General features: G+C 43.6%; 1 protein-coding gene across 5 annotated transcripts in view, besides 2 other annotated features; it reads right to left on the bottom strand.

The window, feature by feature from the left end:
• Positions 1-25,920, bottom strand: part of CCDC60 (coiled-coil domain containing 60) — a 206,312-nt gene that overhangs the window by 153,313 nt on the left and 27,079 nt on the right. The gene's annotated exons all lie outside the window — the stretch shown is intronic.
• Positions 11,823-11,882: an enhancer, noted in NCBI's record as "active region_7114". NCBI's record gives its function as "activates an Ori minimal core promoter by ATAC-STARR-seq in GM12878 lymphoblastoid cells {active_cell/tissue: GM12878}" and the evidence as "EXISTENCE:reporter gene assay evidence [ECO:0000049][PMID:35858748]".
• Positions 16,995-18,194: an enhancer, noted in NCBI's record as "MED14-independent group 3 enhancer chr12:119807339-119808538 (GRCh37/hg19 assembly coordinates)". NCBI's record gives its function as "activates an origin of replication core promoter dependent on BRD2, BRD4, P300/CBP and CDK7 cofactors, and independent of MED14, by STARR-seq in HCT116 cells {active_cell/tissue: HCT116}" and the evidence as "EXISTENCE:reporter gene assay evidence [ECO:0000049][PMID:35650434]".

Below are 25,920 nucleotides of genomic sequence, written 5' to 3'. Positions count from 1 at the left end.
ACATCTCCAAGATCTCTAAGACATTTAAGTTTTAAGAAGTTGTGAAATAAATACATATGGTATAATCCCATTTATGAAAAACAAAATAATCCTTAAAATAAAATGTGTAAAGATTCATATATATATACATTCATACCTATAGAAAAAGGGGGTGGGAGGAATCACATCATATACATAAAAGCATTTACCTCTGGAGCTGGGAGATGGGCAGGGGGTGAGAATTAAGAGAAACTTGTGCTTTTTTATGTATGGCATTTGTCCTTTTAGCAACACAAATGAGTGAATTTAGGGCTTTGTCATAAAAAGATAATGTTTGGAAAATAGCCCACATGCTCATTGTAGAAAAATCTAGCAAATACTAGAATGCACAGATGTAAGTTTTGTTCAAACCGTGCAAGACAGAGGTTTTTTTTGTTGTTGTTGTTGTTTAGAAAAACACAATATTTCAGGTTTCCTGGGGGCAAAGAGGAACTTCTCTTCAGATCCTCAAATGATTTTCATGTGTGTGGCACAATTACTCGGGCAGAGTTCAGTGTTTTTAATCAAAAGCTACTTGTCAAGTAGGCAATGTCACTTTGCCTAGCCTGCGTAAACAAAGCTTTGTGAGGACTGGGTTTGGAAAGTGGAAGAGCTGAAACATTTTAATTGGAGAGTGTGTGTGTGTGTGTGTGTGTGTGTGTGTGTGTGTGTGTGAGAGAGACAGAGGGGGAGGGAGGGAGAGAGAGAGAGAGAGTTGAGGGGGAAGAGGGGAGGAGGATGGAGTACTCTGTGTGATGTACACAATTCTGGAGAATTCTCCATAGAAATATCCACCCTGTGTTTTCCAGCACCGGCTCTGCTCCTAATCACTTGGAACCATAAGAATTTGACCTTCCAAAGGAGAGAGGCTTCCTCGCAATGCTCGGTTGGTAATGACTGAGTTGTAGGCACGGACTGTTTCGTAATTGCCTTCCAGTTGTCTCCTACATTTTTCTGAGTTGGGTACCATTAGTCTTAAGGCTCCTGTCATGTGGCCATTAAATCATTGTTTTCTCTGACAGTGTCATTTCTGCAAAACCCTGGAGAGAAAATACTACACATTTTCCAAGGCTGGAATGCTGCCACCTGGTCATTATGCCCAGCAGCCCTCAGACGGCTACTCCTAAAGATGTGCACCTTTGGTGCGACCGCACCATGGCTCCCCAGACTAAACAGCTCACTGTTACTGGTTGCTTTTTTTTTTTTTTCTTAGAGTGGAATTACCCTGGTCAGCAAGCACCCTCTAGCACTAATTTAGGAGACTGAGTCTGACAAATGGGTGTAAAGAAAAGAAGAATGGCAGGAAAAATATTGGTTTTCAGAAATCAAAAATGATGCTTCTCTAAGGGTATCACTTATTTTTCCCTCCACCCCTGCAACCTACCCAGGGCAAGAGCAGAAGAAAAATTTTTCCAATAGGGTCTAATTGTTGTCTGAAATAAATGAGAACAGGGAGGTTTGAGGACTGCTGAACATGGACAGATGAGGTGGGAGGAATGGTCTTCATGAGTGATTTCCAACAGCCGAGCTGCAAGGCTGAATAAAGAGGATGCCAGTGAGTCCTTAACAAAACAACAAAAAACCAAGGCTTGCCGCCTTCAGGGATCATAATTTATTCATTCAACAAATAAATGGTTGAATGGTTAGTGGTTGTTCTGTGCTGGAAATTCTTCTAGGAGCTGGGGACACAGCAATGAACCAAGCAACATCTCTATATCTTAACTGGGCTCTGAGTAGGAAAGAGATGGTGCACTCAAACTGGGAATTGGAGGAGGAGTTGAATAAAGGGACTATTTGCACAGACTGTTTGCATAGATCCCCCTACAAGGGATGGTGCAGTCCCCTGGGGCTAGCAACAGCAGGGAGCTGTTACCACCCTGAAGGGGCACGGAGGGGGAGCAGCGACTGGCAGTGAAGAGGTTAGTGGTAGGGAGAGGCCGTGTGACAGGAGCCAGGACCAGAGAATCACAAACAACCAAGTCCATGTAGCAAAAATGAGACTGGGAACAGAGACTCCAACCTTTCTATCTCCCTGCCCTTTTGTATTAGTCTGTTTTCAGGCTATTTATAAAGACATACCTGAAACTAGGTAATTTATTTTTTAAAAAAGAGGTTTAATGGACTCATAGTTCCACATGGCTGGGCCTCACAATCATGATGGAAGGCAAAAGGCACGTCTTACGTGGCAGCAGGCAAGAAAGAATGCGAGCCAAGTGAAAGGGGGAAACCCTTTATAAAACCATCAGATCTCGTGAGACTTATTCACTATCACAATAACAGTACGGGGGAAACTGCCCCCATGATTCAATTATCTTCCATCAAGTCCCTCCCACCACATACGGGAATTATGGGAGCTACAATTCAAGATGAGATGTGGGTGGGGACACAGCCAAACCATATCACCTTTGATCTCCCAGCAGTGCTTTCTATTGGCTGAATCCAACTGGAGGCTGGAGAGCAAGGGAGGTCATTAAGTTGTCATTCTCCTGGGGCACAGAGCAGGGAGGAGAAGGGTGGCAAGTGGTTCTGGAGAGGCAAATGGTATATTTCCAGCACAGTCCTTGTCCTCAAGGAGTCAATATTCTACCTATGGGACACAGACCATAAACAAGTAAGCCCATAGCTCTATAACACAATGTTGCCAGGACTTCATTAATCTAAGCAGCACCTCTGTAAAAATTAGAAAAAGCCACCCTCTCTCCAAATGAATGCAGCCCCGTGCCAGGGCACATGGTTTCGCCAGTGAAGCAAGGGCTGGATATCAGCCCCCCCACTCAATGTTTGGTCAGGAGCTTGTGCAGAACTCAACCCACAAAACACAATATCCTTCATGGCCAAGCGGTCAAGGTGTCATAAAGAAAATTGAGAATCCACGACTTGGAATGAGCTGGTGACAGGTGATGCCCAGAAATAGCTTTTCTAGGGCATTAGGCTTGGTCATACCAGTGACATGGTGACATGCTGCAAACACAGGGTCATTAAGGGGCCCTAAGGATGTCCAACAAGTTGCTCTCCCAGGACCAGCCCCTTGCAGCTCTCTGCAGACTTCACAGGTAGGCAGAAGCCAGGATGGGTCCCTTGTAAAGTTAGCCACCAGTGGGAGCGGCCCGGAGCTCGCAGGGAATGGCAGGTCTGTCTTCTCCCAGCTCCGGCTCCCTGAACTGTGATGAGCAATTTGTCTTTCAGCCTTGATCTGCTGTCAGTGGGGCTGACACTGACTCCAAGTATTAATTTCTTCTTGAGCTGTCTTACATTGCAGTCGACAGAGGGATGGAAAATGAAGTAGATTTGCCAGATACAGAAACTCATCACCCAGCTGCCTTTATTAGTGGTGAAGCTGCAGGGAGGAAGAAGGCCTGAGCTGTGCTCCTCTTCTTTTCTTAAGAAGCAGATGCCAAACCCCTAATGAAGCATCTTTCATTTTGCAGCCCTGTGCTTTGACACCTTTCTGCCTTCACTCTCCCTTGGCTGCACAATATCTTAGCTCTGTCTCTCTCTCTCTCTTTTTTTTTTTGAGATGGAGTCTTGCTCTGTCCCCTAGGCTGGAGTGTAGTGGCACGATGTCAGCTCACTGCAAGCTCCACCTCCTGGGTCACAACCATTCTCCTGCCTCAGCCTCCCAAGTAGTTGGAACTATAGGCGCCCGCCACCACGCCCGGCTAATTTTTTGTATTTTTAATAGAGATGGGGTTTCACCGTGTTAGCCAGGATGGTCTCAATCTCCTGACCTCGTGATCCGCCCGCCTCGGCCTCTCAAAGTGCTGGGATTACAGGCGTGAGCCACCGCGCCCGGCCTAGGTCTGTCTCTTTAAAGTGGCTAGGCAGAGATATTACAAAGAAACCCATGGACACCCCAAGTCTTTTCATCAGCTTATAACACGCTCACCCATCTCATGAACATGCCCTCTTGAAGGTCTCTTGTGTTGTCTAGATTGCGTTTTATTCAGGTATCTGTGGTGGGCAGAAAGAAACAGGTTCATTCAGCTCAAGTTTTTAAAAATGTAGGAAATCTCATGGTATCCAGTGACAGGACAGCTCAGCTACTTGCTGTGTCTCTTGAGCTCTCAAAAGGCATGAATGCTCAGATATGCTATTTTCTGCACACTCGTTTCTTTATTCTTTCTCTATCCTGGCTCCTTCTGCTCTCGCACACAGCCCATCATAGCTGTCGCGGCCCTAGAGTTTATGGGGCCCTCATCTCCATACTCTGTGGCTATCTGGATCCGTCTTTCAGTGTCTAAAGTCCAAGTTCCAGATAAGGAAATCTGATTGGTTCAGCTTGTATCAGGTGTTTCCCTTTGGTCCAATCATCTGTAGCCTGGAGGGTGGGACCATGTGGTCGGTATAGCTTCCTGTCTCTGAAATAGGAAATATGGGTGGGGCGAGAAGACTTCTCTAGAACATCCAGAAAGAGATGCTATAGAAGCAAAAGCAGATCTGGATAATATATTTTTAATTTTATTTTTGTAGAGATAGAATCTCACTGTTGCCCAGGTTGGTCTTGAACTCCTGGGCTCAAGTAATTCTCCCGCCTTGGCTTCCCAAAGTGCTGGGATTATAGGTGTGGGCCACTGATCCCAGCCCAGATCTGGATTTAAATCTCTATTCATCCAATCACTTCCAGACTTTTGATCAATTATTTAATTTCTTTAATTAATTTAATTTCCAGTGCAGTGGCCACCCAGGGTTATGCCTGCAAGACCAGCTTCAAGAACATGGCTAACAGGCAAGCACAAAGAGGTTCCGCCATCAGTAGATCTCCAATTACCCTGGGTCTGCTGCATTTTCAGCACCTCATCTCTTTGGGAGCAAAGGAGAGAAGTAAAGCTTTGTATTCACATTGAGTGTATTGGGATGGGTGGGTGGTGAGATAGTCACAGCTTGGTGGCCCGGCATGTTTGGGGAAACATGAAACATAATCACATCACTATTGTGTAGAATGCGTCCATGGCCTCCCCTCACAGTTAGGCTCAAGGTCAAAATTCCTCATAACAGACTTCAAAGACTTCATGAATCAGCCTAAGTGTGTATCTCCATCCTCATCTCCCAGTGTGCCCCATTACACTCTGCTTATTCATTCATTCATTCATTCATTCATTCCCACTGTTCTGAATGCCTGTGATGGGCCAGCCCAGTAGTACAGGCCATACTGGGCCTCCTTGAGCTCCTGCTGTCTCATGACTCAGGGCCTTCACAGATGCTCTTCCCCCTGTTACGAATACTTTTCCCTCCACCCCTTCATCAGTTAGGTGCTCCCACAGAACTTTTGTACCCTGTTCCCCTTCTGTGTCAGGACTTATTGGGATGAAGACAGAGGGCAGAAATGGTGCTCATCGTGCTTCCCTGTACCCACAGTGACCAGTGCGCTGGCTGTCACACAGCCGAGCATCAGGCCAAGTCTGCTGAATGGATTAATGTCAAAAAAAGGCCTGGAAGACATATCTCTGCCTCATGGTAAAACGCTAAAGACTGCTGTGAAGCTCATTTGCAGGTTTTGAGAAAATTTTAATTACTGAACATTGACAAGGGAAAGAGTTTTTGTGGCTAAAAGTTTCGTGGCTAAAGCACATGAAAATCAGCTTCATGTTTGTGGAAGGAGAAGAGAGGTATGCATTTGCCTGGATGGGGTCAAGTAGGGTTTCTCCCTGGCTCTGCCCCTGCCCCGCCTTATCTCTCTCTCTCAAGCACTAACGATAAAGATAGGAAGGTCATGAGAAGGTGTCAGATGCCTGCAAAGAGCCAGCCTGCTTTGTGCTCACTTACTGCACATTCTTCTGACTTTAGAAAACAAGAATTTTCCTTAAAGGGTCTCTGGTTGTAGCACAGGCACCTCCCCATGTCACCTGCTTCAACTTTCCATTGTAGATCTTAGGGTCTGAGATAAGAAATCCTTCTCATAAGTTTGGAGCACTGAGACTTTGGGGCCACAGATCTAAGAGTCCAGACTCCACTGCTTGCTGGCCAGGAGACCTTGAGTGACTTCGACTCTCTGAGCTCCAGCTTCCTCGTCCTTAGAATGGGGTGGCAATAGCAGGTGCCACTGGGGTTGTCATGAGGTGTAAGTGAGAGGATGCATGGGAAGCTGTCAGTTTGGTGCCTGGTGCACAGGAAGGCCACAGTAGGGAGCAGTGATTACTACCACTGAGTCTGAGTATCAGGATATCACACTGAGGATCTGGTTTTCCAAAGGACAAAGATAGGGAGCTAGAGACAGTAATTCCAGAGATTTAAGGCACAGAAACAAATTATCCTGCCACGTTTGCTTGGCAACCACAGACTCCAATTCCTCTTGTATAGGGAGAACAGCTTCAATTGGAGAAATGTTGACACACCAAGGACAGAATTCGACTTTAAAGGTCATCATGGCTCAGTTCATCATAAAGACCCTAAGCCCATGACAATTAATGGAGATATTGAGCCAAAGGCAAACCAAGAATAGAAACTGGAGACCTTGCAGACTGAGTAGTTTTGGCCCAATAAGAGAATATTGTAGGAAATACACTTAATTTAAATATGGTGCTGGTCATGGGGAGGAAGAAACAAAAGTCCCTGTTAATTCAAATGAAGTGTTTCACTGATTACCGTAACAGAAGTGCCTTACCGAGTGGTGACCTCCCTGTCACTGGGCATATTCAGGCAAAGTCTGCCTGATCTAGGGTACGTCTGTGTTCCAGACGTGTTGGTCATTCACAAACCACCTTCAGGATATTTGCCATCTCTCTACACTAATTTTATTATAATTTACTTAATATTTGTCTCTAATTGAGCTCATTTTAGAAACGTGATAAAAAGTAAACTTACTACTATCACTGTAAGAAGAAAGCCATTCCTGCATGTCACAAATAGAAAGTAACTATAAAAGTAAATACAATAAAAACAAAAGAAGCTATTCAATTACAGCTAGGCACTAATCTTCACAAGGCTCTGAGCCTGAGGCCTGCCCTTTCTGTTAAAAGGAAGAGCAACAAGTCCTTAGAGAGGTGTTAAAAATTGAATAGCACTAAATTGAGACTTTCTCCTTTGCATAATAAAAAAGGACAAAAGAGAATTTAAAAACAAGTACCTTTTCTGCTATGCGATTTCATGTTAATGTCTATGTAACACTGAAAAATCATTTCACCATCTGCTGTTAGTAACTGCCCCATCCTCAGAGAAACTCCTGGGAGAAGAATTCTAGCACCAAATCTGGGGTTGGGTAAGAGAAGACCTAAAATCCCTTCCAACTCTGAGATATTACGACGTCAGGTTCTCACTATACTTTCTTGATATTCATTTCCCACCAAACGCTGGCAAATGCTTAACAATCTGCTCTCCAGGGGAGAAGGAAAGGCCCTGATTTACAGTGTTTGCCAATTCCCATGGTGTAAATATTCCCATCATGGCTGATTTTACTCTACCAATATGAGATCACCAAATTCCGACCAAGAGTTGGAAGGAGATGAATACAATAGGTTCAGTATGAGCTGCTTCTAGCACACATGACTGTTCCCACCCAACTGTGGTTGTCCTCTTAAGAATGTAAAACAAAACTGCTTCCAAGGGATTTATATCTAATACTGAAAAATCTTGAAAAAGCCTCTGAGACACTTGGCCATCTCTTAGAGAATGTGTGTGTGAGGGATGAACTAGAAGACTTCTTGCAGTCCCGCTCCACAATCTGATTCCATTTGTGCCCATTTCAGAGATAGAGGCATTGAGATACTTTCTTGCCTGCACCCCCACACAAACACTTTAGTAACCACTGAGTTGGGCTTGACCTTCAATTGTCCACTGTACACATCTGTATGTATATGCACATCTATATTTAATTAACATCTGCATTTCGCCTGCTGGGTATTCTCAATGGTAGCTTTGCTTTATATCCAAGCAGGGTGTTGAGGCTTCTGCTTACTTAACTTTTAAGTCATGGCCAAAGGGCTACCCTACCTCCAGTAGCTTCCCTGAATCAGTTCAAACCAGTCATCGCCTTTCCATATTTAGCATCTCCCACACATCAGTTACCATCTGCAGGTGAATTACTGTGTATGACTATGGCAATTAAATCTTCATCTGATCTGTTTGCACATTTCACCATACATACTTTCAAGAAAGCCCTGGGTCTAAGTAACATTGCATTGAGACCCATTATGTGCCAGGCATTATATGATTATTAGAGTGTCTATTTCAGAGTTGCTATGAGGATTAGATAAGAAGCTTACCCACCTCTGCCATGCCATGGCATGCTTCCTTTTTGTTCCTGTAACCCAACAAAGTGCAGAACAGTGTTGTGGACCTCGTGGGTACCCAATCAACTTCATGGATGGCAGTAAGGCTGCCCATGGCTCCAGATGCAAGCCCTGGCTTCAGTCCAGTCTAGCCCTTTCAACATCTCCTGGGTGTCCAGGCCACAAAACATTTGAGTGTCCTCCACCTGGAAAATGATGTTCTATATATCATCACTTAAGCTTAATTGTGAGTGGTTTGGAGGACACCCCACATGGGGTGATTTTATACACGGTTATTATGTTGGCATATGTGTTTCATGATCTGTGGCCTTCCGCAGCAACAACTATTTTTAGCTTCCTAGCAAAGGTCTGGCATGAGCTCCTAGTGTTTTCTTTTTTTCTTCTCCTCTTCAATGCTGGAATTGGCCTCTGCCTGGTAAAACCAAGCCAGGCCGAGCTGGGGGCTTCCAGAATGAGTGGAGAACTACTGAATAAAGCTGTCGTCTGATGACCTTGCCCTCTTGTCCCAGACCCACCAGAATGTGTTGGCCCTGGGCTGAGCATTGATTGTTATCAACATCTTAGATGGGTGGCTTACCCACCATGTACAGAGGGAAGATTCGTCTATGGGTCTGGCTCTCTGCACATATCCAACAGGCTCACTGCCTGCTGTCTTGACAAGCCTGTGTCAATCTTGGCCTGTGCATAGGGCTTTGCTTGTGATACTATATAGGCTTGTGCCTTGAGGATCTTCGCAAAAACAAAAACAAAAACAATTTCACCAATCCACTTACAACTGTTGGAGGGACAGCAAATTTCAGCTGTGTCTGGGGAGGCAGGCACCATGTTTGTTAAGAGCATGGACAGACCTGGGTTCCAATCCTATCCCTGATGCTTATTAGCTCTATGACCAGTTACCTAATTTTCTTGAGCCTCAGTCTGTGGACCTGCAAAAATGGAACCAATTACACTGGCCCTCATGATGTTGCTGTAAAGATTAATTGAGGTTCTTGGTTTAGTGCTGATACAGGAGCTAGAAAGAAATTATTTAGGCAGATAGTGAGGGTAAGAGAGTCCTTGGTAAGGTTTCCCTTTTAATAAAAGGCAGCCCCCAAATCATTTCCTTTCTAACAAAGAGAAGCCTGTAAAATCAAGCTGCAGACATAGAAAGGCAAGCTAGAAGCTTGCACGGGTGAATGCCAGCAGCTGTGTCAATAGGAAAAGGCTACCTGAGGGCCAGGCATGTTCAACATGGTGGCTCCATCTTCCCTTTTCTTTGTCAACCACGTGTACAGTAAGGAACAGACAACACGGCACCCGCCAGGTAGAGAACCGATCTGCTAGTAAGAGATTAGGGTGGGATGGCCAGCTTCTTTGCATACTATGCAAACGTCATACCTGGTCCGACTGATCTCTCGGGCTCTATGTGAATCAGACACCGCCTCCTCAAGCTTTTCTATAAAACCCCGTGCATTTCACCATGGAGCTGGAAGTCCCACTTGGGAGCTCCTCTCTCTCTGCAAGAAAGAGAGCTATTCTCTTTTCTCTTTCTTTCGCCTATGAAACCTCTGCTCTTAAACTCATTTCTTGTGTGTCTGCGTCCTCGATTTCCCTGGCGTGAGACAGCAAACCTCGAGTATTTACCCCAGACAACGATGCCACGTCTGTGCCTGGCATACCGCAAGCACTTCCTTATGCTCCTTGGCAAAGGGTTTAAGAGCCTGTGTTCACACAGCGGTTAAATTTGGTGTAGAAAAAAATGTGTAGAGGTAAAATGAAAAGACTTTGAAACCAAATTTTCCTGGATTTGATTCCAAATTTTTTCATTTGCTAGTTGTGCGTAGAAGTGGGAATATGGAAGGACTCACACTAAATAGTTAATAACTGTTTTGTAACTATTTTGTTAGTTATTAACTATTTAGTTAGTTTAGTTAATAACTATATAGTGACCAGTTGTTACTTCTGGAGTAAAACTGGTTTGGGATGATGGTGAATGATACTTTTAACCTTATTTATAATATTGTAACTGTTTACAGAGTTAATGTAGTGATGTTATTACTTGTGCATGTAAACACTGAGAATAAAAAGAAAACAGAACTGATTATTTGAATTTACCAGATTTTTGTGGTTACAGAGACAAGGCTTTACAACAATTGGAAGATATTTCTTATTTTACTTCTCCGTCTCTTGAGACTTGGGTTGGAATTTTTTCTTTCTTTCTTTTTCTTTTTTTTTTTTTTTTTTTTTTTTTGAGATGGAGTGTTGCTCTGTCGCCCAGACAGGAGTGCAGTTGCACGATCTCAGCTTGCTGCAACCTCCGCCTCCCAAGCTCAAGCGATTCCCATACTTCAGCCTCCCAAGTAGCTGGGATTACAGGCACGTGCCACCACACCCAGCTAATTTTTGTATTTTTAGTAGAGATGGGATTTCACCATGTTGGCCAGGCTGGTCTCGAACTCCTGGCCTCAAGTAATCTGCCCACCTTGGCCTCCCAAAGTGCTGGGTTTACAGGTGTGAGCCACTGTGTCTGGCCTGAGTTGGAATATTGAGGGCTTAGTCTCCATCCACATTGTCTAGTGGAAGCTTGCAAATACTATCCAGCCCAGAGAAAGACAAGGCCTTTCTCTAGCCCTAAATCCCTGCAGCTACAGAACATCCCCCAATATTCCAAAATGGGTAAATGACCCCAGCCCCAACTACTTATACCATTGCCTATAAAGTAGCCACTCTGTTGGAAATATATAGGGGCACACTGTTTAAAGGATATAGGAGCCTAAGGGAGGTTTGGGAATGAACCAGACGAAGCCAGCATCCTGAGATTACCACTGTGTACTTAGGACCATCCCCTGAGTTTTATTTTATTTTATTTTATTTTTTTGAGACAAAGTCTTACTCTGTTGCCCAGCCTGGAGTGCTGTGACTCAATTCTGGCTCACTGCAAGCTTCATTTCCTAGGTTCAAGCGATCCTCCCACCTCAGCTTCCCAAGTAGCTGGGACTACAGGTGCGTGCCACCATGCCTGACAAATTTTTGTATTTTTTGTAGAGACGGGGTTTCACCATGTTTCCCAGGCTGGTTTCAAACTCCTGGACTCAAGCGATCTGCCCGCCTCAGCTTCCCAAAGTGCTGCGATTACAGGCATGAGCCACTGCCCTCGGCCCTGTTTCTTCATTCTGGTTAATTGGAGACCTGCAGGTATTCCTGGAAAGATAGGACAGGAGGGATCAAAGTGATCAAGGATGAGCCTTGTAGTGTAAGGCAGTTTTTGGCAAACCCCAATCTTCAGCTCAGAGAGGGTTGCCTCTGCTGTTCCAATTGAGTGGGCTAAGCTTCACTGGGGTATTAGCAAGTGCGTTTTTCTGAAGGTGGCCATGCTTTCTTTGTTATTAATGAAATACAAGAAGAAAACGTGTCCAACACACAAATCCAGATGGGCGTGGGTGTGTGGGCTCTCTTCCAACAGCCACATTTCTTGGTATAATGTGACCTTTCTGTCTGATTACCACTCTGCTCTTTTCACCAGAGGAAAGTCAGGAGAGGAGGTCTTTTAAAGAGACAACGGGCAAGTTGATTAGGTGGCTCCACGTTTGTCAGACTTTATACTAAGAGCTTCAAGGGAGGGGCTGGTTGTTGCAGGAAGAAGCTGAGGACTTGATTCATTTCGAAAACTGTCCCCAGGGCCTTCTGGCTCACCCACTTCCCCACATTGCATCCTGCATGCATCAGAAACACATGAAATTTTCATGACATCCAAGCCACTTCCCTCCACGGCTCTATTTCTGTTCATTCTGCTGAAAACTGTCTTTGTCATATACAGGGAGCAGTTTAGGTGGACGAAGGACTCTGGTCTCTCAGTCCCTGACTCCACACCCCATTATTTTGATTGATTAAGTAAAACACAGCCATCAGTGAGCTATTCATAGAGAGACAGTTGGGGGGAGGGGCTCATGGACACATTTTATTTGTATGGGGACATTCTCTGATGGGTCAGTAGGTAGGGTGGAGGGATGTGGCCCAGCAAAGACAGCTCAGGGGGATCTTTCAAGTCCAGTGCGGAGAAAGCAATGGTGTACTAGCTGGTGAGGGTGATTGCATGAGAGCTGATTGTATGCATCTGCTTCCCAATTCTTTGTTCAGTGATCGATAGCTTGAAATTGGCCACAGTGGGAATATTTACACCATGGAAACTGGCAAACAAACATTGCAAATTAGGGTTTTTTGCTTGCTTGTTTGTTTTTTCCAGAAAGCTGGTTGTTAAACATTTACCAGCACATCAATGGGGCAAAAGTTTCTGTCCATATGGATACATTCTTAAGACACGTTGTCCCTAAACCCCACTGTCAGAGGCGCTGGAAACAGAGCAACTCTATTTTGAATAGGGACTGGGTAAAATGAGGCTGAGACCAACTGGGCTGCATTCCCAGGAGGCTAGGCATTCCTAGTCACAGAAAGATAGGCGGTTGGCAGGACTGGTATCACAAGATATGGGTCACAAAGACCCTGCCGATAATACAGTATGCGGTAAGGAAGCCAGCCAAAACCCACCAAAACCAAGATGGCAATGACAGTAACCTCTAGTCGTCCTCACTGCTCATAATTTTAATGCATTATGCTAAAAGACACTCCCACCAGCGCCAGGACAGTTTACAAATGCCAAGGCAACAACCAGAAATGACCCTTATATGGTCTAAAAGGAGGAGGAACCCTCAGTTCTGGGAATTGCCTGCCCCTTTCCCAGAAAACTCATGAAAAACCCACCCCTTGTTTAGCATATAATCAAGAACTAACTATAAATACACTCAGTTAAGCAGCCCATGCCACTGCTCTGCCTATGGAGTAGCCATTCTTTTGTTTCTTTACTTCTCTAATAAACTTGGTTTCACTTTACTCTATGGACTTGCCCCGTATTCTTTCTTATGTGCGGTCCAAGAATCCTCTCTTGGGGTCTCGATCAAGACCCCTTTCCAGGAACACCACCACCCCTCTATAGCATCTCTCATCATACCCTTTCCCGTCCAGATTGCAACTATCTATGTATTTGTCTTTATTATTTCTATAAGGTTTCCTTTCCTAGCTTCATACTTACTACCTCTGAAGTTGAGCAAGTCAGTTAACTTCTCTGTGCTTTAGTTTTCTCATCTTTAAAAAGGAGGAGAGTAATAGCATTGACCCTTATAGGTAATTTCTTCATGGCTGCCATGGATGAGTGGTGTAATACATTATATTTAATATTTTAATCTATTTAATCCTCACAATAACCCAGTGACAAAGGTATTATTATCCATCTAAGGACGAGAAGGCCCTCAGATCTTAAGTCTCTAGATGAAAGTCTAACAGCCATTAAGTGGCAGAGCTGGGATTAGAACCCAGAGCTTTTGGAATTTCAAAGTCTGTGTACCTAACCAGCACAGAAAACTGCCTCTTCAGCATAGGTTTTCTCCCTCTGGCAAGTTGGCTTCCTACTACTCAGCCCCTGGGCAAGAGCTGGTGTTCTGTCAGGAGCAGAAAAAAAAAAAAAGATAAAGTTCTCTTCATTTCCTTCAAAGAAACCTTTCTTGCCTCAAAGAGAGAGTGAGAAAGGAATTGGCTCAAGTTCATTTGAAATTCCAGGTTCATTATCCATGTACTTAAAGCCTGTCTAGATAACAAATGAAACGTGAAAAATGTAGTCAATCATCCACATGTTTGGTCTCTGCCATGTCAGAAGTGGTGTATTTTAGAAACATCTGGATGGCTAGAAAAGAGGCTAAGCCAAGCTTCCATTAATGAGAACTTGTGGAAATGAAGGGGGACGCCCCCCATCTCATTTTACAGATAAGGGAACTGAGACCCCCCCCCACCCCACCCCGGAGAGAAAGTATCTTGCCTAAGTTTGCACAGATTTTTGGTGGCAAAACTAAAGCATAAACTTTCACCAGTGCAGTTTCAAGTCCACCACGCTGCTCCTCTTTGCTGAAATTGCTCACCACGGTGACAGACATGGTCCTACACTCAGAGGCATGTAGTAAGTGGTTTGGCAGCAAGCTTCTATTGACAGTGCCTCAATTGTGATAAGCAGGGTTGGACTGATGAAAACCCCTATTTGCAAATGAGGAAACTGAGGCTCAGAGAGGTTAAGTAACTGGCTCAGAGTCACATAGCTGCCGGTGGGGTTTAGAGTGATTGGAGCCAGCTTTTCTTTAGGTCAATCAGTGTTCTCTTAAGCACCACCAAAAGAATCACAGATTATTTATTGAGTAAATGCTATGTGCTAGGCATTTTATGACTGTAAGGGAATTGGAGTTATATTCTGAGCTCCCCATTTAGCATCAGGAAGTTGAAGTTGCTCCAGGGTTAGATCCAGGTCAGTCAGCTTGACTGCATTTCAGTACTTTGTAAAGGAGACGCCACCCACTCTGCAGCTTAAACCTGACATTGCCCCCTCCTCCTGATTCCACGTTTTCCAAAATTCAAACTTTCACTTACAATCATCATAATCTATTGTGGTACTCATGCACTGCCACTTTTACTATTAATATTTTTCTTTACAGTAACGTTAAACAAAAAACCTTAAGTATCTACTTTAGTTCTCTCCTAAGCAATAATATCCACGACATTATGCTTTTGAAACGCCTTGTTAGAGTTTTCCTAATGCACTATTGAAATGAACACATCATAAACAAGGAAGAGTGAAAGTGACTGTCCATTTAAAATTACGCTGCATGTCACCATGGCGTGTGTAGCAACCTCTAAGGCCCAGGCATTGTGGCTTGTTTAGTGGGTTATGCAACCATCTCTAGGGCCCAGGTGTTGTGTGAAATCTATGTCATGCCTGCTGATAAGGCGGGGGGACTCAAGCACCGAGATATCTCTCTGAGTGGGGATTCGTAGGTGGAGGCTGAACACTGAAGCATTTTCCAGAAGCAGCTTTGGACTATGGCACTGCCTGACTTCCATAATGTGGGGGATTTTTATGTGTCAATCAAATCTCTGAGATTTTGCCCAGTGATTGTCTCTGTCTTGATTTATGTTACCCTGGGACCCTGGAAGCCACGCTATGGGAGGGTGGTTCCTAGTTACTAGGGTTCTATACATCAGCTCTAAACCTCACAGTCTCTTGAAAGATTGACATTATGCCCCAGTTTTGCAGATGAGAGCTCAGAGAGGCAAAGTGGCACAGCCATTAAGTAGAGAAGCCTAGCTTCAAGCCCAGGCTAGCCTAACTCTTAAAGATCATGCTTACCTGCCATTCTTATTTTTTATTTTTGAGACACAGTCTTGCTCTGTCACCCAGGCTGGAGTGCGGTGGTGTGATCTCAGCTCACTGCAAACTCTGCCTCCTGGGCTTAAGCAATTCTCCTGCCTCAGCCTCCCGAGTAGCTGGGAATTCAGGCACGATCCACCATACCCGGCTAATTTTTTTGTATTTTTAGTAGAGATGGGGTTTCACCATGTTGGGCCAGCTGGTCTCAAACTCCTGACATCAAGTGATCCACCCGCCTTGGCCTCCCAAAGTGCTGGGATTACAGGGGTGAGCCACTGCGTCCGGCCTAAGATCATGCTTACCTGCCATTCTAACCTCTGTCCTAGTGCCACCTCCCACCTGGGATCACCAGATTGAGAGAGTCCTTAGGTGGCATCATCACAGAGACTCAGCACAAGCCCCTTTTAATAATGGATGTAGGCTCTAGTGGATGGGCTCTTCCCAGAGCCAGGGAGGGGAATTCCTGGCCAGGCTCTGCAGGAAGAATTCCAAGCTGGTTTGTTTCTTGAAGCCCGGAGAAAAGCCTATTCCTAAAGAAATGAACAACTCTGGGGTTAGGAAACACAGCTGCCTGGAGAACTGGATGGATGCTGTGGTTTGTTTTAGAAAATTGAAACAGCAACTTGGGAGCGCTTCTGAGATCCCACCAATGGGAAAACCTCAGGCTCAGAAAAGAGAAGTGTCTTGACCAAGATTTGATGGCTTTTAAGCGGTAGACATGGGATTCTAACCCAGCTCTGACTATAAGGGTAGTTGTTTTTTTCTGACACAAAGCAGACCGAGTCATTCATTCACTCATTCATTTCATTCATTCACTCATTCATTCCACAACTATTTATTGAGCCACTGCTCTATCCAGGCCTTGGGAATAGGTTGGGAACTATGAGATTTGGGCTCTGGAGAAAAATCCCTGAAGTTTTCTGGCTTTAAGCCCTTCCTCCCCTCTCTCCTATTGAACATGGGTACCACTTGGGGTGGGGGCAGTGTCTTGCATTTTTTATTAATTATCTCAAGTATCTATTTTGCTGATGGAGACACAATGTCATGATCTGATCTTGTTCTCCTATAGAAGGAATCAAGTCCCCAGTGATGGTGGTTTAATGAAGAAACACAAGGCTGTCTCAAGAAATGGAATCAGGTAGAGAGAACCAACCCATCCAATCGCTGAGGCATTAGGGTCCAGGGCCCAGGGTGATTAAAAAGCTACTATTTTATTTTATTTTTTAAAATAGAGACAGTGTCTCACTTTGTCACCCAGGCTGGAGTGCAGTGCTATGGTCATGGCTCACTGCAGCCTCAACCTCCTGGGCTCAAAGGATCCTCTCACCTCAGCCTCTTAAGTGCCTGGGACTACAGGGGTGTGCCACTATACCTGGCTAAGTTTTTTGAAAATATTTTGTAGAGATGGGGTCTCACTATGTTGCCCAGGCTGGTCTCAAACTCCTGGGCTCAAGTGATCATCCTGCCTCAGCTTCCCAAAGTGTTGAGATTACAGGCATGAGCCACTATGCCTGCCTCATATTCTAAACCAAACTGTTGAAGAGTAAGTGTTTTTGATGAATGCCCCCACCAGTTCCAGGCTTAAATTATTACTGAACTTCTGCATTTCAGCCTTCAAGGCCTAGGTTGTTGGTGAGATGTCAGAGCTGTTCCTGAGATGAGCAGGGAGGAGTGGACTGCTCCATCCACGTGACCCCTTCACATAGACTTCAGGCCCTCAAGTACAGTTTTAAAGAGCTGTGTTGAAAATAACCTTCTCTCATCCATCCATACCTGTGATGTGTGTTTGGGATTGTTGCCTTGCAAATGAGGTATAAGGTGTCACCTTTGCGAGGCACTTCTTTTCTCAACTCGACATGATATTCTGGATCTATTCCCAAGCCTAAGTGAGCACGGCAATTCATTATCATGACAACTTAAGCCATAGTCCCGGATGTGGAATGCACCACGGGGCGCACTGTCTGCCTGACATTTGGCAACTTTGCCAAGAACTTAACAATAGTGCATGATTATATTTGATATGCTTTCCTTAATTCATTATGGATTCTGTGGGTTGGAGAGAAATGGAACTTTAAAATGGATTGTGTTGTTTGGAATTGTCTAAGTGCAGGGTTGGGCTTATGGGACTGAATCAGGCGTTGGACAGGTTCAGGCATGTTGGAACACGTTAAGTGACCACCTTTCCTGAAGCGGCCTCAAAGCTGGTCTGGCCTGGTCTCTTCTTGTGTTTGATAGGGAGGTATACGTCCTTATCCCCAAGCTGAATTTACTCATTTGTATTTCCTGCCTGGGTCTTGAAGACATTTACATTTGAAATCCCTGATTTTAGGTGGTGGATTGAAAGGCAAAATTCTGAATAATTGAGGCACTTACTGATGCCCTTGGCAAGCCTCTGAACCCCCATTTCACCACATTCATTCATTCAACAACCATTTACTGGCACCTGCTCCATGCCAGGCCCCGTGCTAGGTACTGGGAGGCAGCAGGCAATAGTAATTAACAAACACAACATACGGGATGCTGCTTCAACACATTAACCTCCTAACAACCCCACGAGCTAATTACATCCTCCTAACATCCTCCCAACAGCTCCACGAGCTAAGTATTATTATTTTCTCCATTTGTAGATGGAGACTGTGGGGCTCAGAGAGGCAAAGTAACTTGCCTATGGCTGCACAGCTAGTGAGCAAGTCCATATTCTTAACCACTATGCATCAGTGTTTCTCTGGCAAGATGATTTCCAGGGAGCTTACATTAGCTTTCAAGGATTCAGTGGGCTTTAAAGTTCTGCAGCCCTCTGAATCTCTGGCACTCTGCAGATTTAAGAAATTTAATGCAATACAAGTGTTTTTTCTAACCCAATAAAACTAGAAAGCTTCCCCCATCCCCCAGGAATGCTGTTTGTCAGCTCTCCACTTGCAGTGTTCACCCTTTTCTGGGCTGAAAGGGGAGACTTCCTTGGAGATGAGCTTGGTGCTTTGTGCCTTGTAAATCTTTTTAAAACCTACATTGCGAGCGTCTTTCTCTCCAAATATGGCTACTTCTCAGGCCTGGATTTAGCATTCATTCCTCCAGCACAGGAAAGGAAGGCCTCGTATAAGGTCATGCTTGTGTTATTTTCTTCTCTTGTACCAACCTGCCTGCCTGCTTTTACCTCCTGTATCCCTAGTTCTGCAGCCTTGAGTTCTACCAGCTGAGACCTCACTGTGTGGTTGGATATTGAGACTCTTATCTTTCCACAATTCTTCCTCTGTCACCAAAGAGAATAGGCATTGTCTGTCCCCACCCATTCCTCTTTCTTCATCCTCTCTAGACGTTAGTTCAGAAAAACAAGAGGAAAGGGGAAAAAGAACTACGAAACGATCAGGTTATCACCAGCATAGAAAGAGAAATAATTAGCACCAATTAAATTTGGGGTATTACAGATAAAGTGGCGACTAAGTGGAGGTTGGCCTGAACCGAAGCACAGAGATGCAACCGGGCCACGTTAATTACGAGCAGGGATTGTCATGGAAACCCAAGGTGGGCACATTCATGAACCTGTGTTAATTACATGGAAATAGCTGCACTGCAAAATGGTGCTGAGGGCAAAAGGGCATGTATTTGAAAGTTGAGGCCACTGGTACAACCTTTAGAAGCTGCTGATGACAAACCCAATTTCAGATGGTTTCCCCCATGGTTGCAAATTCTCAGCTCAGAAGTCGGAAGGCGTAATTCTTTATTGTGAGGCCGAGAGTACCGCCCTGTGTTCCCCTGACCACTCCAGTCCCTCTCCAGCAAGCTCCTTGGACTTTCACATGATCCAGCCACAAAAGAGTTAATGGCGGGTCCGGTGTCCTAGCCATACTGATTGCTAAACATTTTAATATCATTTACTATCATTCTCAGCTAATATTTATTAGACAAGAAAAATGAGGTTTGGGCCAGTAGCTCAAGGTTGTACAGCTATAAAATGGCAGCTCTATGGCTTGAACCCAGGAATTCTTTCATCAGAGCCGTCTTCTTCTTTTCTATCTTCTCCTCCCCCTCCTCCTCCTCCTCTTCCTCCCCCTCCTCCTCCTGCCCTTCCCCCTCCTTTTTCTCCTCCTCCCCTTCCTCCTCCTCCTTCTTTTCTTCTCCTCTCTTCTTCCTTCTTCCTTCTTTCCTTCTCCTCCTCCCCCTTCCCTCCTCCTCCCCCTCCTCCTTCTTCTTGTTCTTCTTTTTTTCTTCAGAAAAACAGATTTATTGACATATAATTCACACACAATACAATTCACCCATTTAAAGTGTACAGTTCAAAAGTTTTTAAGAGACTCACAGATATGTGCAACCATCACCATGATCAATTCTGGAAACTTTTCATCAGCTCAAAAAAAAAAAACCCCTTTATATATTACCCCATTATCCTCCCAGGCTTCTGAGCCCCTGGAAACCCCAAATTTACCTTCTGTCTCTATAGATTTCCCTGGTTTGTACTTTCATAAAAATGGATCATGTCATATGCATCCTTTTGTGACCAGCTTCTTTCATTTTGCATAACGTTTTCAAGGTTCTTCCATGTTGCAGGTTGCATTAGTATTTCATTCCTTCTCATGACTGAATAATATTCCACTGTATGGATAGGCTATATCTTGTTTATCTGTTTGTCACTTCACGGACTTTTGGGCAGAGCTGTCATGTTGACCTCTACATTGTACTAAGCTTTCCCAAGGTCACAGCTAAGGGCAAACCTGGGACTCAGACCTCCATAACTCAGGCACACAAACACTAAAATAGATATCTTATTCTATACTTTTAAATAAATATGTGAAGATCCCATAATATTTCAAATGCAGAGTTTGGGGGACTTGGAGGATATAGGCGGTGGAATTATCATGTAGGGAAGGAAAGCTATGAGTGACTTTGAAGGAACAAGAAAAGGAGACTCGAGGGCTTTTTCTGGAGAGGGTTTAACTTACTTCAGAGGGTAGGACTATAGCCCTCCATGACCTTGCACAAGTCCTCTTAATCTCTCTGTGCTTCAGTTTCTTTGGCTGTAAAATGCAGGAAATAATCATACCTACTTTTTAGGATTGTTTGAAGGCTGAGTTAATCTGTGGAAAAGTGGTTAGAATTGTGTCTGGCACATAGCAAGTATGATACGTGTTTTCAGGCCAGGTGCGGTGGCTCACGCCTGTAATCCCAGCACTTTGGGAGGCCGGGGTGGGTGGATCACTTGAGGTCAGGAGTTTGAGACCAGCCTGGCCAACATGGTGAAACCTCGTCTGTATTAAAAATACAAAAATTAGCCAGGCATGGTGGCGGGTGCCTGTAATCCCAGCTACTCGGGAGGGTGAGGCAGGAGAATCGCTTGAACCTGGGAGGCAGAAGTTGCAGTGAGCCGAGACTGTGCCACTGCTCTCCAGCCTGGGCAACAGAGCGAGATTCTGTCACAACAACAACAACAAACCCTAAGGGTTTTCTGTTCCTTCTGTTCTTACTTAGGAGGTATCCTCTGGCTCGTCTTGATCCCACGGGTACATGGGGTGGGTCCCTGAAGGCTGTACTCATTCTAAGAGACCCTCACTATCTCACTGCCCTTGCCCTGGATCTCAGTTTTCTCATCCATTAAATCAGGAGAACAGGCACATGCCATCTAAGCATGTTAAGACTCTCTCTTGCTACTTGATTTTCTCATGAAGCCCCACACCCCCACCCAGGGCACAGTTTTCTGTGTGTGTGTCAAAGTGGGGTTTCTTAGGCCCTCCAGTCAGAGAGTCAGCCATCCTGTGCCCTATCCCATCTCCACCTTGCTCCTCCTTCAGGAGAAGTGTGGATTCAGGAGAGAGCAAAGGTTCAAATCAAGGGCTTTGGTGGAAAGCAGAAGAGTCTCCTAAACATGAGTTTTGAAGACAGACAGAGCTGGGCTCAAATCCTGCTATGACCGTTAATACCGTCACCTGGGACATGTTATCTCGTCTCCTTGACTCTGATTCCTCATTCATAAAATGGAGCTTAGTATATTTAGTATACTTCTCACAGGTGTTCTGAGGATTAATTGGAATATTTTTAAGAAATGTCTATCACAACATCTACGTCACTGTGTAGATCTTCAGTGACGTACTAACTGGAGTTTTCTTATCTCTAAAACGGTGATAAACCATCTACCCTGTGGTTGTTTGAGGGTGAAATGAGGGAGTTCATGTGAAGCATCTTAGCACAGTGTGTGTATGTGTGTATATCTATCTGTCTATTTATATAGTTAGGTCTAGATATATCTCAATACATCTTTATTCTTATTATTACTGTGAGGCCAGGACTCCAGGTGGGAAGCCTGGATGTTTTCAACATTGTAATCTTGGCCCCATTGCCCTTTTACTTATTAAGCAGATCATGGTCCCCACAATTTGTGAGTTTACTGGAGAGAAACTGTCCTGATCTCCATAGGCTGTTAGGCACCTGCCTGTGTGTCTCCTATCAAAGAGAGCTTCCGCTGGTATTCTAATCACATTCCTCTGTTAATACCACATATTTCTATGTAAAAGGAAACAAATTACATGCAGACAACAGCAAATATGAAAGCTTGCAGCAACACTTTCATTGTTCAGGCAGCGTTCTTTGCTCACTGCTTCTGAGAATATAAAGTTAATTGGCAGTTCTATTTATCTTGCTTTGGTTAACTGATAGATCCCTTTGCCCTTTAGTCAGTAAACACCTCTTGGTATTTCTCTGATCTTGCTTTCTTTTAGCCCTTGCCTCTGACCGCAAAACAAAACAAAACACACACACACACACAAAAGTTGACATTTGTATAATGTGACAATTTCCAGGTAGACTGCATAGGATTTAATAAATTTGTCAGTCATCAGTGTCTTTATTTTTAATTTAAACAATGAACTAAATACAAACGAGGAAACACAGACAATATGCTAAAGGATTTCCTTTCCTTGGATATTTATTCATTCAATAAATAGAACTTTTTTTTAGTGTTCATTACTGCCAGGAACATGTTGATCCTTCTTGAATCTGTCCCTTTTGTTCCATCTCCTTTGCAATCAGTCTAACCAGGGCTCGTCTCAGGACAGGGAGGAAGCATGAGTTTTGAGGCCAGATAGAGCTGGGTTCGAATCCTGCTATGACCACTAATGCTGTCACCTGGGACACGTTATCTCATTTCCTTGAATCTGATTCATCGTTCATAAAATGGAGCTTAGTATACTTCTCACAGGTGTTCTGAGGATTAAATGGAACAATATTTTTAAGAAGTGTCTATCACAACATCTGCCTCACTGTGTAGATGCTCGGTGATGTACTAATTTCCAACTGCCTTCCATGTCCACTGAGTTTTCTATACACCTCAGAGCCTGTCTCCATCTTCACATCATTCACTCCCAGTCATCCTTGGCTCTCATCTCAAATGCTTTTTCAGGGAGCTTTTCCTGAATCCCTGGACAAAACAAGGTCTTCCTGCTGTTTGCTCCTGTGACAGCCTGTGCTTGCCTTTCTGCAACACTCATCATGCTTGCGGTTGTCCAAAGGGAGATCGCCCCGTGGATCTCCTCTGTGCTCTGTTCCCAGCGGAGTCTGTGCTCTGTTACCAGTGTGGGCATCAATTATAAGATGCACCGGCAAATTACTTTTATCTTCTCAGACTTTTAAAAGAAAAACTGGAACTGACCCAACTGTGCATCAACAGGTGAATGGATAAACTCTGTTATATTCATATTCAGTAATAAAAGAGAGCAGGCCACTGATATGTCCAACAACATGATGAGTCTCAAAAACATGTTGGATGAAAGAAGCTAGACACAGAAGAGCATATACTATGTGATTCAATTTATAGGAAATTAGAAAACAGAAAAAAAGAAATTAACTTATAGTGATAGAGTATAGATGAGGAGTTGCCTGGGTTTTAGGGTAGGAGGAGGGGATTGACTTCAAATGGGTATGAGAGGTCTTTTGGGGACTATAAAAATGCTCTATATCTTGATTAGGATGGTGGTTACGTGGGTGCATACAATCGTCAAATCTCATTGAACTGTAGACTTAAAATGTGTGCATTTGGTTATATGTAAATTACACCTCAAAAAGTTGATTAAAAATAAATGAGTATATCAAAGTCAAAACAAAGAAGGAAGGAAGGAGAGAAGAAGGAAGGGAAGCAAATATCCTAGCTCGAAACCGCCCCAAATTAAAGCTTGTTTTCAATTTCTGAGTAGGTTGTGGCAGTTAGTGAAAGCCTATTGTTTTCATTGCAACAGCAAGATTACAAGGATCGTATTTTCGAAGGCACTGGAGAGCCATGGAAGCAAAAGAAGAACTAAAATTTCAGAGAGTGAAGAGTGCTGCTTAGAAATTATGAAAGACATAAAACAACAGAATGACATATTTAAAGTGCTAAAAAATGAAAATCCCAAACCCCAAACAACCAACCAAACACCAAAACCCAAGAATCTGCTCACCTACAATTCTGTCTCCAATAAAAGTATTTTTCAAAAATGGTAGCAAAATAAAGGTATTTTCGCACCTACAAAAGCTCAGGAAATTCCTCACCACCAGCAGGTCTGCACTACAAGAAATACTAAAGCAGCTCTCCAGGCTGCAGGAAGTCAATCCCAGATGGAAACAAGTACCCACAGAATAGAACAAAGAGACCAGATGGAGCAAATGTATGAATGCCTGGATAGAATACTGACTGTTTAAAGCAATATTAATAGCTGTGTCTTGTGGCTTTCTAATACATATAGAAAAAAAGCTCCAACTATAATAAAAAGAATGGATAAATTTGACTTTGTTAAATTTAAGAATTTCTGCTTATGGAAGGCACCATTAAAGGAATAAAAAGGCACTTCGTGAATACACACACACACACACACACACAGAGGACTCATACCTAGACTATATAAAGAACTCTTACAAGTCAATAATAGAGGACAAAATTTTGCAAAGACAGCAGACTCAAACAGGCATTCACAAAAGAGGAATCCAAATGATCCGTAACAACATGAAAAGTTGTTCAATATCATTACTCATCAGGAAAATTCAGGTTAAAAGCACGATGAGGTATCACTACACACTCACCAGAGAGGCTAAAATAAGAAAGACTAAATTTTGATGAGGATATGGAGCAACTGGAGCTCTCATACATGGCTGACACCTTAGAATGCTGGAATCCTGCCAATTTCTTTCTTTTTTATTTTTATTTTTGAGAGGGAGACTGGCTGTCTCGCCCAGGCTGGGGTGCAGCGGTGCAGTCTCAGCTCACTGCAACCTCTGCCTTCTGCATTCAAGCGATTCTCCTGCCCCAGCCTCCCGAGTAGCTGGGATTACAGGCATGTGCCACCACACCCGCTAATTTTTATATTTTTAGTAGAGATGGGGTTTTGCCATGTTGGCCAAGCTGGTCTCGAACTCCTGGCCTCAAGTGATCTGCCCACCTAGGCCTCCCAAAGTGCTGGGATTATAGGCCTGAGCCACCTTGTGGGCCAGTTTCTGATTAAACTAAAAATATTCCTATTCTATGACCCAGCTAAGAAAATCTAGTGTATATGTTCACCCAAAAGACATGTAAAAGAATGTCCAAGAAGATTTACTCATAATAGTCCTAAATAGGAAACACTCCATATGTCTATCAATGAGAGGGTAAAGAAATAAATTATGGTATATTCATACAAGAAAATACTATTTACCAATGAAAAATAATAAACTACTGATACGTGCAACACTGTGGATTAAATCACCCAGATATAATGGTGAGCAAAAGAAGCCAGAGGTAAAAGAGAATATATACCCTATGATTTCATTACATGAAGATCAAGAATGGACACAACTCAATATTGTAAGTTAGAATACTGGTTACATCTGTGGTGGGTGTAGTATTTATTTATTTATTTATTGCAGGGAGAAGTGGGTGCAGTATTGATAGGAAGAGATGAGAGAATCTTCTGGAATGTTTTATATATTTATTAAGGTCATGGTTAACAGGTATATAGATATGTAAAATTTAATTGAGCTGTAACTTAAGTTTTAAACATTTTATGGCATGTAATTTACACCTCAAATTTAAAAGGGGCTGAGTCTCCCCTAAGCCCCTTCTCATGCATCCTAGAATCAACCTCCAAGTCTTAAATAAAAACAAATTATAAATACATACAAGTAGGTAAGTAGATAGATATAGACACAGCTATAGATATAAGATAGATGTTTAAATAAAAATGGGATTAGAATTCTGGCCACAATACATATGTGTTTGTCCAGGACAATCTTAATTTATATGTATTTTTCCAGGATAACTGATGATGCACCTCATTTTACTCTGAAAAGTGTCCAAGTTGGGCAATAAATTATATGGCCATACTCATTATACTGTACATACAATGATCACTCCCCTCATTAAACTATGCACAATGGCCATCTTTCCATGTCTATATGTACGGACTTAACCTTGTTCATTTTAGTGGCTGCATAATATTCCACAGTATGCATGGACATGACTTA

Source organism: Homo sapiens, chromosome 12 (genome assembly GCF_000001405.40).
Source record: "Homo sapiens chromosome 12, GRCh38.p14 Primary Assembly".
NCBI classification, from domain to species: domain Eukaryota; kingdom Metazoa; phylum Chordata; class Mammalia; order Primates; family Hominidae; genus Homo; species Homo sapiens.
This window is presented reverse-complemented; position numbering and strand designations above follow the sequence as displayed.